At 48.6% G+C, this 13,467-nt stretch overlaps 1 protein-coding gene across 44 annotated transcripts in view; it reads left to right on the forward strand.

The window, feature by feature from the left end:
- MROH1 (maestro heat like repeat family member 1) overlaps positions 1–13,467 on the forward strand; it is a 113,911-nt gene that overhangs the window by 59,548 nt on the left and 40,896 nt on the right. For 41 of the 44 annotated variants that reach the window (XM_047422170.1, NM_032450.3, XM_047422189.1 and 38 more), the window contains one exon: positions 13,037–13,110. In XM_047422170.1, the coding sequence (XP_047278126.1) occupies positions 13,037–13,110 (74 nt within the window). Of the gene's footprint in view, positions 1–5,430; positions 5,903–13,036; positions 13,111–13,467 lie in introns of those variants that run through there. The other 3 variants (NM_001099280.3, NM_001099281.3, XM_011517286.3) reach the window with 1 other exon arrangement.

Below are 13,467 nucleotides of genomic sequence, written 5' to 3' on the forward strand. Positions count from 1 at the left end.
TCTGTGATCATAGCTTACCACATCCTCGGCCTCCTGGGCTCAAGCGATCCTTCTGCCCCAGCCTCCAGAGTAGCCTGGGTTACAGGAGTGCACTACCATGCCCAGCTGTTGTTCATTTAACAACTGGGTTGTTTGTCGTTTTATTATGATTATTTTGTAGTGTTCTTTATTGGATACATAGAGACATAAATATATGTTTTTATGATTAGTACCTTTATGTCTAAGAAACCTTTGCCTGCTCAGAAGTCATGAAGATATTCTTCTATATTTTCTTTTAGATGCTTTATTGTTTGAGCTTGCAAATTTATGTCTGTGATTCATCTTTTACTAATGTTTGGGTGTGAGTGAAATGTAGGGGGCAAGGTGTGTTTTTTTTTAATTACTTTTTTTTTTTTTTTTGAGACAGAGTTTTGCTGTTGTTGCCCAGGCTGGAGTGCAGTGGTGCGATCTCAGCTCGCTGAAGCCTCCACCTCCCAGGTTCAAGTGATTCTCCTGCCTCAGCCTCCCGAGTATCTGGGATTACAGGCACATGCCATCACACCGGCTAATTTTGTATTTTTAGTAGAGACAGGATTTTGCCATGTTGATCAGGCTGGTCTCAAACTCCTGACCTCAGGTGATCCGCCCGCCTCGGCCTCCCAAAATGTTGGGATTACAGGCGTGAGCCACCACACCCGGCCTGCAAGGTTATTTTTATATGGATGTCCAGTTGTTCCAGTCTCACTTGTTGAAAAGACTTTACTTTCTCCATTGAATTGCTTCTGTGCCTTGGTACAAGGTCAGGTAACCTTATGTATTAATGTAACAGCTGCAGTAACAAAGTACCACCGACTGGTGGGTGGGGTTTTTTTTTTTTCTATTACCCTGATCTCTGTTTTATCTTCATGTGCATTTTTCCTGTGTGCCTGTCTGTATCCCTATATCCCCCTTTTATAAGGGTACCAGCCATATTGGATGAAGGGCCCACCCTACTCCAGTGTGACCCCCTCTCAACTTATTAATTCTGCAGTAACTATTTCCAAATAAGGTCACATTCCGAGGTACAGGGGTTGGGATTTGCACATACGAATTTTGAGGCCACAATTCAACTTATAGCATCATATGTTAGTGGGTATATTTCAGGACTCTATTCTTTCCTTACACCAATATCACACTTTTTTTTTTCTTTTTTCTTTTTTGAGACAAAGTCTCACTGTGTCACCCAGGCTGGAGTACAGTGGCGCGACCTTGGCTTACTGCAGCCTCTGTCTCTTGGGTTCAAGCGATTCTCCTGCCTCAGGCTCCTGAGTAGCTGGGATTACAGGCATGCACCACCACATCCGGCTAATTTTTGTGTTTTTAGTAGAGACAGGGTTTCACTGTGTTGGCCAGGCTGGTCTTGAACTCCTGATCTCAGGTGATCCACCTGCCTCAGCCTCCCAAAGTGCTGGCATTACAGGCATGAGCCAATGCACTCGGCCATTTTGTGTGTGTGTGTGTGTGTGTGTGTGTGTGTGTGTGTGTGTGTGTGTTTAGTGGAGACGGAGTTTCGCCATGTTAGTCAGGCTGGTCTCAAACTCCTGGACTCAAGTGATCTGCCCGCCTCAGCCTCCCAAAGTGCTGGGATTATAGGCCAATATCACAGTTTCTCAGTTGTTTTAGTTTTATCCTAAGGCTTTAAATCTGGTAGAGGATGTCCTTCAACTTTATTCTTCTTCAAGATTGTTCATCCCCATTGAAAAATCGTTAGTATAGGCCGGGCACGGTGGCTCAAACGCCTGTAATCCCGGCACTTTGGGAGGCTGAGGCAGGCGGATCACGAGGTTAGGAGATTGAGATCATCCTGGCTAACACAGTGAAACCCCGTCTCTACAAAAAATACAAAAAATTAGCTGGGCGTGGTGGCGGGCGCCTGTAGTTCCAGCTACTTGGGAGGCTGAGGCAGAGAATGGTGTGAACCCAGGAGGCAGAGCTTGCAGTGAGCTGAGATGGTGCCACTGCACTCCAGCCTGGGCGACAGAGTGAGACTCCGTCTCAAAAAAAAAAAAAGAAAAAAGAAAAATCGTTAGTATAAAAGAAATCATGGAAGGGCACAGTGGCTCACACCTGTAATCCTAGCACTTTGGGATCCCGTAGCAAGCAGATCGCTTTATCCTAGGAGCTTCAGACTAGGCTGAAAAACATGGTGAAACCCTGTCTCTACTAAAAATAAAAAAAGCCAGGTGTGGTAGCATGCATCTGTAGTCCCAGCTACTCTGGGGACTGAGGTGAGAGGATCACCTGAGCCCAGGAGGTCGAGGCTGCAGTGAGCTGTGACGGTGCCACTGCATTTCAGCCTTGGCTACAGAGTGAGACCCTGTCTCAAAAAAAAAAAAAAAAGGGAAGGAAATGTAGAAACCACATAAAACAAATGTGTGACTTATTACATATCATTCTAAGACAACAACATCAGATCTACCACCAGGTCTTTTGGACTGAAGTTGCCACCGAGACGCCCCTCCTTGCATCCTATTCCAGTCACAGTTCTTCACTCCCCAACAAGTAACAGCTATCCTGATTTTTATAGTAATCACTCCCTTATGATTAGCTGTGTCCACTTTAAAAGCCTACCTATGGCCGGGTGCGGTGGCTCACACCTGTAATCCTAGCATTTTGGGAGCCTGAGAGGGGCGGATCACTTGAGGTCAGGAATTTGAGACCAGCCTGGCCAATACAGGGAAACCCTGTCTCTACTAAAAATACAAAAATTAGCCAGCGTGGTGGCAGGTGCCTGTAATCCCAGCTACTTGGGAGGCTGAGGCAGGAGAATTGCTTGAACCTGGGAGGGGGAGGTTGCAGTGAGCCGAGATTACGCCACTGCATAAACAGGCCCTGTGCGGTGGCTCACACCTGTAATCCCAGCACTTTGGGAGGCCAAGGCAGGCAGATTACTTGAGGCCAGGAGTTCGAAACCAGCCTGGGCAACATGATGAAACCCCATCTCTACTAAAAATGCAAAAATTAGCTGGGTATAGTGGCGCACACCTGTCCCAGCTACTCAGGAGGCTAAGACATGAGAATCGCTTGAGCCCAGGTGGCAGAGGTTGCAGTGAGCCAAGATCGTGCCACTGCACTCCAGCCTGGGTGACAGATGGAGACTCTGTCTCTCTCTCTCTCTCTATCTCTCTATATATATATACATTCAAATTTATATAGAGATAATAATGTATAAATATATTTTTACATAGATTTAAGTCTTTTTTTGGAGGCTTGACCATTGGTGATTTTGTTTATTTTTAGTGTGGTAAAATACATGCAATATAAAATTTAGCATCTTAATCGTTTTTAAGCAAATGCTTCAGTAGTGTTAAGTACATTCTCATTGTCAGGCAACTGTCACCACCATCTGCCTCCACAACTCTTTTCATCTTGCAAAACTGAAACTCCGTGCCTGTGAAACAGCAACTCCCCATATTTAAGTCCCTCATAAGCTACAGGTTCCCCTCCGTTCTTCTCTTTCTCTTATAATTTATCTGTAGAAGAACCTGGCTGTTTATTCTGTGGATTTGCTCATCGTTGAGTTTTGCTGACTGCATTGTCAAGGTGCAAGTCAACATGTTTCTCTGCCATCTGAATTTCTAGCACATTGGCAGCTGGATTCAGAAACAGATTCAGACTCAAGCTCAGTCCCTTGGGCAAGACGATAGGAGTCATGTGATATGTGGTATTCTCTCCTTTGAACGTCAGTCTTAGCAGCATTGATGCTGAATGCCTGTATCCATTAATTAATTAATTGGTGGGAGGATGATACTATAATTCTATCATTTATTTTTCATTAAGTGGAACACCTTGACAAAGAGATACTTGCCCCAGGTACCATTTGCTTACCCAGGGGTATGGTTCATATAAGAAAGGCAGGGTTGGCCGGGCACAGTGGCTCATGCCTGTAATCCCAGCACTTTGGGAGGCGGAGGCAGGTGGATCACGAGGTCAGGAGTTCAAGACCAGCCTGACCAACATGGTGAAACCCCCCTCCCTACTAAAAAATACAAAAATTAGCCAGGCATGGTGATGCGGGCCTGTAATCCCAGCTAATCCAGGAGGCTGAGGCAGAGAATCGCTTAAACCCAGGAGACAGAGGCTGCAGTGAGCCAAGATTGCGACACTGCACTCCAGCCTGTGCGACAAGAGTGAAATTCCATCTCAAAAAAAAAAAAAAGAAAAAGAAAGGTAGGTTCAGCCCTTGATTCTTTTGTGTTTTTATTTATCAGTTTTCAAGGTAGTGGATTGGTTTCCTATCACCCTCCAGAGGTGGTTTGGAAGGACGCATTTGATGGCTTCAATCCAGAGCAGTCATCACCATCACCGAAGCTCAGATCGTCTCATCTTTGGCAAGCGGCAGCCTCTTGAGATCTGAATCCCTCTGATACGGCCCTGCTGGTCTTTGGCAGCTCATGTTTTAGGCTTCTTTCATCTGTTTCTTGCTTTAGACCTGGAATTGGCCATTTCTACAAAAATAGCCCTGGTTCCTTTTAGTGAGAAGCTGTGTTGTTTTTTTGTTTGTTTGTTTGTTTGTTTTTGAGATGGAGTCTCACTCTGTCGCCCAGGGTGGAGTGTAGCGGCTCAAACACGGCTCACTGCAACCCTAACCTCCTGGGCTTAAGGGATCCTCCTGTCTCAGCCTCCTAAGTAGCTGGGACTTGCAGGTGCACACCACCACACCTGGCTAATTTTTCTATTTTTTGTAGAGATGGGGTCTCACTATGTTGCCCAGGCTGGTCCTGGATTCCTGGGCTCAAGTGATCCACTTGCCTCGGCCTCCCAAAGTACTGGCATTACAGGTATGAGTCACTGCACCTAGCCAAGAAGTTACCTTTTAAGACAGTAGTCTGTTTCTGGAGGGCTCATTACTTCTGGATGGTTACTATTCCTGGGCCTTTTCAGTAGACAGAGCTAGGAAATATCTCTATCAGTAGATAGATAAAATACCTTATGAGTTCATGTTGATACTTCCAGTTCAACATATGGACCTCAGAGATTTTTACCTCTCTTCTGTTACTTTTTTTTTTTTTTTTTTTTTTTTTTTTTGAGACAGTCTTGCTTTGTTCCCCAGGCTGGAGTGCAGTGGTGGGATCATGGCTTACTGTAACCTCTGTTTTCCAGGTTCAAGCGATTCTCATGCCCCAGCCTCCCTACTAGCTGGGACTACAGGCATGCGCCACGACACCCAGTTAATTTTTGTATTTTTTAGTACAGATAGGGTTTCACCATGTTGGCCAGACTGATCTTGAGCTCCTGATCTCAAGTGATCCACCTGCCCCGGCCTCCCAAAGTGTTGGGATTACAGGCATGAGCCACCGCATCTAACCTCTTTTCTGTTACGTCTCTATCTCTGTTCTCAGGAATCCAGTTCTCAAGGTTAATAGAATTGGACTATCCCATAATTACCATTTGTTTGATCTCGTTACACAGGCAGCACTAACACCAGAATAACACTGATGTTGCCATCAGCAGTCACACGACTGAAACATGAGGACTGCCCTGCACGTGCTGCTCCGCAGCCTGCTGATCTAACGGCCGCGCCCGCGTCTGTTGCTTGAGTCACCACGGCTGTTACATCCCGTGCTCTCCCTTCTCTGCCTTCTTGGTGTTGGTTCTGCGGGCGACTGCCCATGTGGCCCTCAGCCCCATCCTCTGTTCATGGCTCTCTGCCACTCTTGTTGTCCAAAGCTCTTTCTCTGTAGGTTCCGTGGGAAGAGCTCATGGGAACATGATCTTCGACCTCATGCTTGCTGATCATAGTTTATTGTGCCTTTTATCGTTGATGGTTTTGCTGGTTACAGGATTCTTGGCTGACATTTCCTTGAGTGTCTTAAGTTATTCCATATTCTTCTGGCAGAGAGTTGCCAGATTTAGCAAAAACAAATAAACAGGATGCCCCGAATATTGTGTGGGACATTTTTGTACTGAAAACATGATTTGCTGGGCTGGGAGCGGTGGTTCGCGTCTGTAATCCCAGTACTTTGGGAGGCCAAGGCAGGCAGATCATTTGAGGTCAGGAGTTCAAGAACAGCCTGGGTAACATGGTGAAACCCCGTTTCTGCTAAAAATACAAAAATTAGCTGGGCGTGGTGGCGTGTGCCTATAATCCCAGCTACTCAGGAGGCTGAGGCAGGAGGATCACTTGAGCCTGGGAAGCAGAGGTTGCAGTGAGCCAAGATCACACACTGCACTCCAGCCTGGGCAGCAGAGCAAGACTCCGTCTCAAAAAAAAAATTATTTATTGTTTATCTGAAATTCAAATTTAACTGAGCATCTCATATTTTATCTGGCAACCCTATTCTGGCATAAAGCATTGTTATCGAAGTCTGATGATAATCTAATTTTCTATCCTCTTAGATGCCATGGGGTTTTTTTTTGTTTCTTTGTTTTGGTTTTGTTTTCTGATGTCCAAAAGATGTTCTTCTTTTTCTTTAAAACACAGTAATTTCATAGAATATCCTGATGTTGGTCCTGCAGTGCCCTGCAGTTGGAACAGAGCCCTGCTCCTCACCACGGCCTTTCTGCTCCCACCAGCAACCTGGGCCAAGCTCCCACCAGGGACCTCTCCTTGGCCACACTCGGCTGCCTGATGTTGGAGGCTCTTCCAGCCTGGAATCATCTTTCTGTGGCTCCCACATAGCCAGCTCTCTTCCTTTGAGTCTTAGCTTCAGGGTCACTTTTCAGAATAGCCCTTGGTGTTGACCCCCTTCTTCCAGTGCAGCACCCCCATGAATATGTTTCTCAGCCTCTCGTCTGCACCTCTCCTGATGCTGCCACAGTGTGTGGTGATCTTATTTACTGTCCAGTTGTCTTTGTGTCTTTTCCATTAGGACATAAGCTACTTGAGGGCAAGCCCCATCTGCCTTATAAAGGGCCTAGCAGGGAGTTGGCCTCCCCATAAACTTGAGGAGTGAATAAAATATTGCAGGTAAACCCCGGTGCATGTGAAATGTTATCGGTGACCGTAACTTTTGGTTTTTCCTTGGTGCTTTTTAGTTTGTTTGTTGTCTTGAATCTCAGGGACATGGGCCTGAATGGGCCCAAATCCTCAGCCACACCCTGGCTTGCTTGTGTTCTGCATTCTCGTGTGGGGCCGCGGCCACCCCAGCCATTGTTCGTTCCCTTTGTCTCCTCTTCTGGGAGGCAACTGCTCATGGCTCATGTCCATTTTTCTATTGGGTTGTTCGTTTATATTCTTTAACTTTTTGTATTAGGGTTCTCTAGAGGGACAGAACTAATAGGATACATGTGTATATGAAGGGGAATTTCACGATCACAGGGTCCCACAATAGGTGGTCTGCAAGCTGAGGAGCAAGGAAGCCAGTCCCAGTCCCACAGCTGAAGCACCTGGAGTCTGATGTTGGAGGGCAGGAAGCATCCAGCACGGGAGAAAGATGCAGGCTGGGAGGCTAAGCCAGTCTAGTCTTTCCACATTCTTCTTCCCGCATTTATTCTGGCCATGCTGGCATCTGATTAGATGGTGCCCACCAAGATTGAGGATGGGTCTGCCTTTCCCAGTCCACTGACTCAAATGTTAATCTCCTTTGGTGACACCCTCACAGACACATCCAGGAACAATACTTTGCATCCTTCACTCTAATTAAGTTGACACTCAACTATCAACCATCAAACTTTTTAATCTTTTATTGGGAAATACAAATACAGGTTGATTGTCTGTAATCTAAAAATTAGAAATCACAAATGTTCCAAAGTTCGAAACTTTTTGAACACTGACATCATGATGAAGATGACCTTAACACTATAGGAAATGTACAGAAACACCGTGGTGAGTGTGCGATGGGCTTACTGAAGAGCTGGAGCAGCAGGACACGTAACAGAGCAAGAAACCATGGCAGTGTACAAAATCAGAGTGATGTCTAAGACAAAAACCATTGTTAGTGAGGCAGATGACCCTGGAGGAATCACTTTAAAAAGCATCTGGCAGAATGCCCCTCCTCCCTAGAGGACCACTTCCTGGTCCCTCAGCTGCATCTGAGGTTTCTTCTCACCTAAAAAATGAAACACAGGCCGGGCATGGTGGCTCACGCCTGTAATCCCAGCACTTTGGGAGGCCGAGACCGGCAGATCACGAGGTCAGGAGATCGAGACCATCCTGGCTAACACGGTGAAACCCCATCTCTACTAAAAATACAATGAAAATTAGCCGGGCGTGGTGGCGGGCACCTGTAGTCCCAGCTACTCGGGAGGCTGAGGCAGGAGAATGGCGTGAACCTGGGTGGCAGAGCTTGCAGTGAGCCAAGATTGTGCCATTGCACTCCAGCCTGGGTGATAGAGCGAGACTCTGTCGCAAAAAAAAAAAAAAGAAAAATAATGAAACACGGGCTGGGTGCGGTGGCTCACGCCTGTAATCCCAGCACTTTGGGAGGCCGAGGCACGGATCACCTGCGGTCAGGAGTTCAAGACCAGCCTGGCCAACATGGTGAAACCCCCATCTCTACTAAAAATACAAAATTAGCCGGGCGTGGTGGCACATGCCTGTAATCACAGCTACTTGGGAGGCAGGAGAATCACTTGAACCTGGGAGGCGGAGGTTGCAGTGAGCCAAGATTGCACCATTGCACTCCAGCCTGGGCAGCAAGAGTGAAACCCTGTCTCAAAAAAAACAAAGAGCCTGGCTCAGTGGCTCATGCCTGTAATCCCAGCACTTTTGGAGGCTGAGGTGGGCAGATCACGAGGTCAGGAGAGCGAGACCATCCTGGTTAACACAGTGAAACCCCATCTCTACTAAAAATACAAAAAATTAGCCGGGCGTGGTGGCGGGCACCTGTAATTCCAGCTACTCAGGAGGCTGAGGCAGGAGAATGGCGTGAACCCAGGAGGCGGAGCTTGCAGTGAGCCGAGATCGCACCACTCCATTCCATCCTGGGCAACAGAGCAAGACTCCATCTCAAAAAAATAATAAGAAGAAACACAGTGTCCAGTGTCTTTGCCATCAGTACTCAACAGTCTTGTTTGTGAGTGGAGACTGGAAGCTGCTGTTGATTGCTGCTGCAGCTGTTTAATGGCTGCTCCAGGTGTTCTGGTGGTCCCACTGTTCACTTGGTTACCCTGAACACATGATGTCTTCATTGTATTAATGGTATGTCATATTTTTTACTGCTTTTTTTTTTTTTTTTTTTTTTTGAAATGGAGTCTTGCTGTGTCGCCCAGGCTAGAGTGCAGTGTCATGATCTCAGCTCGCTGCAACTTCCACCTCCTGGGTTCAAGCGATTCTCCTGCCTCAGCTTCCCGAGTAGCTGGGATTACAGGCACCTGCCACCACATCCGGCTAATTTTTGTATCTTTAGTAGAGACGGGGTTTCACCATGTTGGTCAGGCTGGTCTCAAACTCCTGACCTCCTGATCCATCCGCCTTGGCCTCCCAAAGTGCTGGGATTACAGATGTGAGCCATCGCGCCTGGCCTATTGCTAAGTTCTTATGTGTGAATAAGTGTAAGAAATGATTGCTTATTGAGCTGGGTGTGGTGGCTCATGCCAGTAATCCCTGCGTTTTCGGAGGCCAAGGTAGGAGGATTGAGTCCAGGAGTTGGAGACCAGCCTGGGCAACATAGTGGGATCTCATCACTTAAAAAAACGAAACAAAATGATTGCTTATTGGTAGCATATAAATTTAGTCAGGAGTGACAGGGGTGGCAGACAACCACAGATTGTCCACATGGGTGCTAAAAGGTGACACCTGTGCTTTCTAACAGTTCAGTGTACACAAACTTTGTGCACAAAATTTTAGAAATCCTGTATGAAATACCTCCAGGCTATATGTGTACGGTGTATATGAACCATAAATGAATTTTGTGTTTGGACTTGGATTCCGTTTCCAGGAACTCTCATTATGTATATGCAAATATTCCAAGCTCTGAAAGACCCCAAAATCTGAAACACATCGGGTCGCAATCATTTCAGATAAGGGAATGCTCAATCTATCCAGGCTGAAAGTTCTCAGAACACATGGCCCATCAGCCCCTCCACGGCAGTCACTGACTCTCACAGGGACCAAACCTTATTGTTGGTTGTTGTTGTTTTTTCTTTTCTTTTCTTTTGAGACAGGGTCTCACTCTGTCACCCAGGCTGGAGTGCAGTGGCACGATCTCGGCTCACTACAGCCTCTGCCTCCCGGCTTCAAGCGATTCTTGCACCTCAGCCTCCCGAGGAGCTGGGATGACAAGTGTGCGTGACCACACCTGCCTAATTTTTGTGAGACCAGACCTTATTGTTTTAGTTTTGCTGCTATTGTGTGAGTCCCTACCTCTTTATCCAGTAGGGCATTGTCAGGATCCCTCTGGGTGGCTGTGTTAGTGGCCCAGTATCCCTCGGGTGGCTGCGTTAGAGGCCCGGGATCCCTCTGGGTGGCTGCGTTAGCAGCCCAGGATCCCTCTGGGTGGCTGCGTTAGCGGCCCAGGATCCCTCTGGGTGGCTGCGTTAGTGGCCCAGGATCCCTCTGGGTGGCTGCGTTAGTGGCCCAGGATCCTTCTGGGTGGCTGTGTTAGTGCCCGTCTACTCAATTCCATTGCTGTGTCTTGCCCCATGGCTTGGAAGCCAGCGCCCCGTCAGCCCCTATCCTAGTGTGGTGTGTGCTTGGGCTCTTGGCAGTTTGCTGTCATAAACAGGCCGCCCTGCATATGTCAGAGCTCCTCTGGTGCAGGAACATTACCCGAGATGGACTTGCTGGGTCTCAGGTGTGTGTATCCTCTGCCTTTTAGATGATGCCGAGGTGTTTTCCAAAGTCCCCATGCCAGTTTCTCCAGCAGCCTCCAAGCATTCTACCTGTTCCAGCATCCTTACTCCCATGAGGTTTTGCACCGGACTCCTGCACCTATTCCAGTCAGGCCGTCATCCTGTGTCTCTCTGGCCAGCGGGGAAGCCCAGTGGCGTTGCGTGGGTGTTGGCCCTTGAGATTTTTTTTCACATCTTTCGTCTTTCTGTTGATGAGTCTTGTTCTCATCAACTTGTTGGAATTCCCTGCACCCTTTGCTGTGTCCACCACAGTGGCTGTCCTTCCAGCTCAATTCATACTATTTTGATTAACAGAAATTCTGAACTTCACTGAACTTCAGTGGTCCTTTACCATCCTCCCCTCCTCTCCCCTCCCGTCCCCTCTCCCCTCCCCTCTCTCCTCCCCTCTCCCCTCCTGTCCCCCCTCCCCTCCCCTCTTCCCTCCCCTCCCCTCTCGCTTCCCCTTTTCCCTCCCCTCTGCTCTCCCCTCCCCTCTCCCCTCCCCCCCTCACCTCCCCTCCTCCCCTCCCCTCCCCTCCTCCCTTCCCCTCCCCTGTTTTGACAGGATCTTGCTCTGTCGCTCAGGCTAGAGTGTGGTGGTGTGATCTCAGCTCACTGCAACCTCCGCCTCCTGGGCTCAAGCGATTCTTGTGCCTCGGCTTCCCAAGTAGCTGGGACTATAGGTGTGCACTACTACCCTTAGCTAATTTTTGTGTTTTTTTTTGTTGTTGTTGTTGTTTGTTTTTGAGACAGAGTCTCGCTCTGTCGCCCAGGCTGGAGTGCAGTGGTGCGATCTCAGCTCACTGCAAGCTCTGCCTCCCGGGTTCACGCCATTCTCCTGCCTCAGCCTCCCAAGTAGCTGGGACTACAGGCATCCACCACCATGCCCGGCTAATTTTTTGTATTTTTAGTAGAGACAAGGTTTCACTGTGTTAGCCAGGATGGTCTCGATCTCCTGACCTCGTGATCCGCCCGTCTCGGCCTCCCAGAGTGCTGGGATTACAGGCGTGAGCCACCGCGCCCGACCAATTTTTGTATTTTTTAGTACAGAAGGGGTTTGGCCATGTTGTCCAGGCTGGTCTTGAACTCCTGGGCTCAAGTGATCTGCCCACCTTGGCCTCCCAAAGTGCTGGGTTTACAGCCATGAGCCACCACACCTAACCCCTTACATCTTTTCTTATTGCCTTCCATACTTCCCAGTTCTGAGGCTATGAAGATCCTTCTACAGCATCTTCTAAAAGCAGTGTGGTATGTCTCATGGTTAGATCTGGAACCTGTCTTTTCTGAGCTTCTATGGCACACGTCTGTTTCATCCTCCTAACCCAGGGCTGGAGTCGCCCCAGACGTGACAGGGGAGTTCCCACAAGGGAGTATACCAAACCCTCAGAGAAGGAACCAATTGGGATCCCAAAGAAGCACTAAATGCCAGCTCAGAGCATTAATTAGGGGAACATTGGCATAGAGAGCTGCAGCTGGCCTCGAAACCGACAGTGAGAGACAAGGTGTTCTACCCAGGTGTGCCTGCATTGAGGAGCCAGGGTATGGGGTGTATGAGCAGCTTTAAGGCACTGGGTTCCAGGCATGAAGAGGCTGTGTCTAGCTCTGCCATTTGCTGCTCCGCAGTCCCTGGGGCCTCCAGTTCCTCATCTGTGACATTGGGTTGTCGTGACCCTTCTCTCCAAGGACTGTCGTGTGGGACAGCAGTCCTGTCCTGTGCAGTGGACCTCAGAGGGCACTTGCACTGTCCCCAGTGTCCTTCATTTTTATAGTCTCTCAGCCACTCTTAGATATCCACTTTTTATCCCCATTTAAATATCCAGAAATGAAGGCCCTGTTGATGGTTCTCAAGGGGGTCCCCAGACCAGCAGCATTAGCTCACCTTGGAATGTGTGAGAAATGCACACCTGAGCCCCCCAAGACCTGCTGAGTCAGCGCCTGGAGGGGGAGCAGGAGAGGACCCTGCCCCCAGTGCTTAATCCGCCTTCAGTGATTCTGATGCTGTAGCGCTTGAGTACCACTGAAGGAACTTCCCCGGCGTTGGAACCTGCGTGTACCTGACTCAGGCCCATTCTTCTACGACCGACCGCCCTAAACTACCAGCCACTTAGCTTTTGGATTAGGTAGAATGATGTTATTTGAGGAAAGTAAATCATTTGTCCCCTGAAGAAAAGTGGGTATGCTTTCCTTATGCTCCCTCTTCCTCCTACACGGGGACCACGGGGAAGCCAGGCCCCTGGTGATGTGGAATGGACCTTGAGGTCCTCATCTCAGTGGTAGGCTGAGCTGTCCTGTTTGTTTCTTGCAGCTGCTCAGATGGAAGATAAAAAGCCCTTTATCCTGTCTTCCATGAGGCTTCCTCTCCTGGACACCAACAGCAAGGTAAACCACATGGGCCAGCCCAGGCTGCACCACCACACCACAGGCAGCTGCAGGGTGTGGCCAGGCTGTGCTGTGAGATCACCCACCAACCAGGCGGCCACCACCCTTGGCTGGACTGAGCTTGGGAACAAAGGATGACAGTGTGCCATTCAGTGTGTGGCTGGTGCTTTTCCCACATCTCACTCAGGAAACAGTCCCCAAGGCCACCCTACACTGGCACCAGTTATAGGCCCGCGGGTCCCTAGCCCCTCCTTCAGGCTCAGTTGTTCTCTAGAAGGACCTGGAACTCACAGTGCTGCTCTGCTCGCGGTGATTGCAGCAAAAGGATGCAGGTCCACATCAGCCATGGTTGGGGTG

The sequence above is a fragment of the Homo sapiens genome, chromosome 8, assembly GCF_000001405.40.
Source record: "Homo sapiens chromosome 8, GRCh38.p14 Primary Assembly".
Classification (NCBI taxonomy): domain Eukaryota; kingdom Metazoa; phylum Chordata; class Mammalia; order Primates; family Hominidae; genus Homo; species Homo sapiens.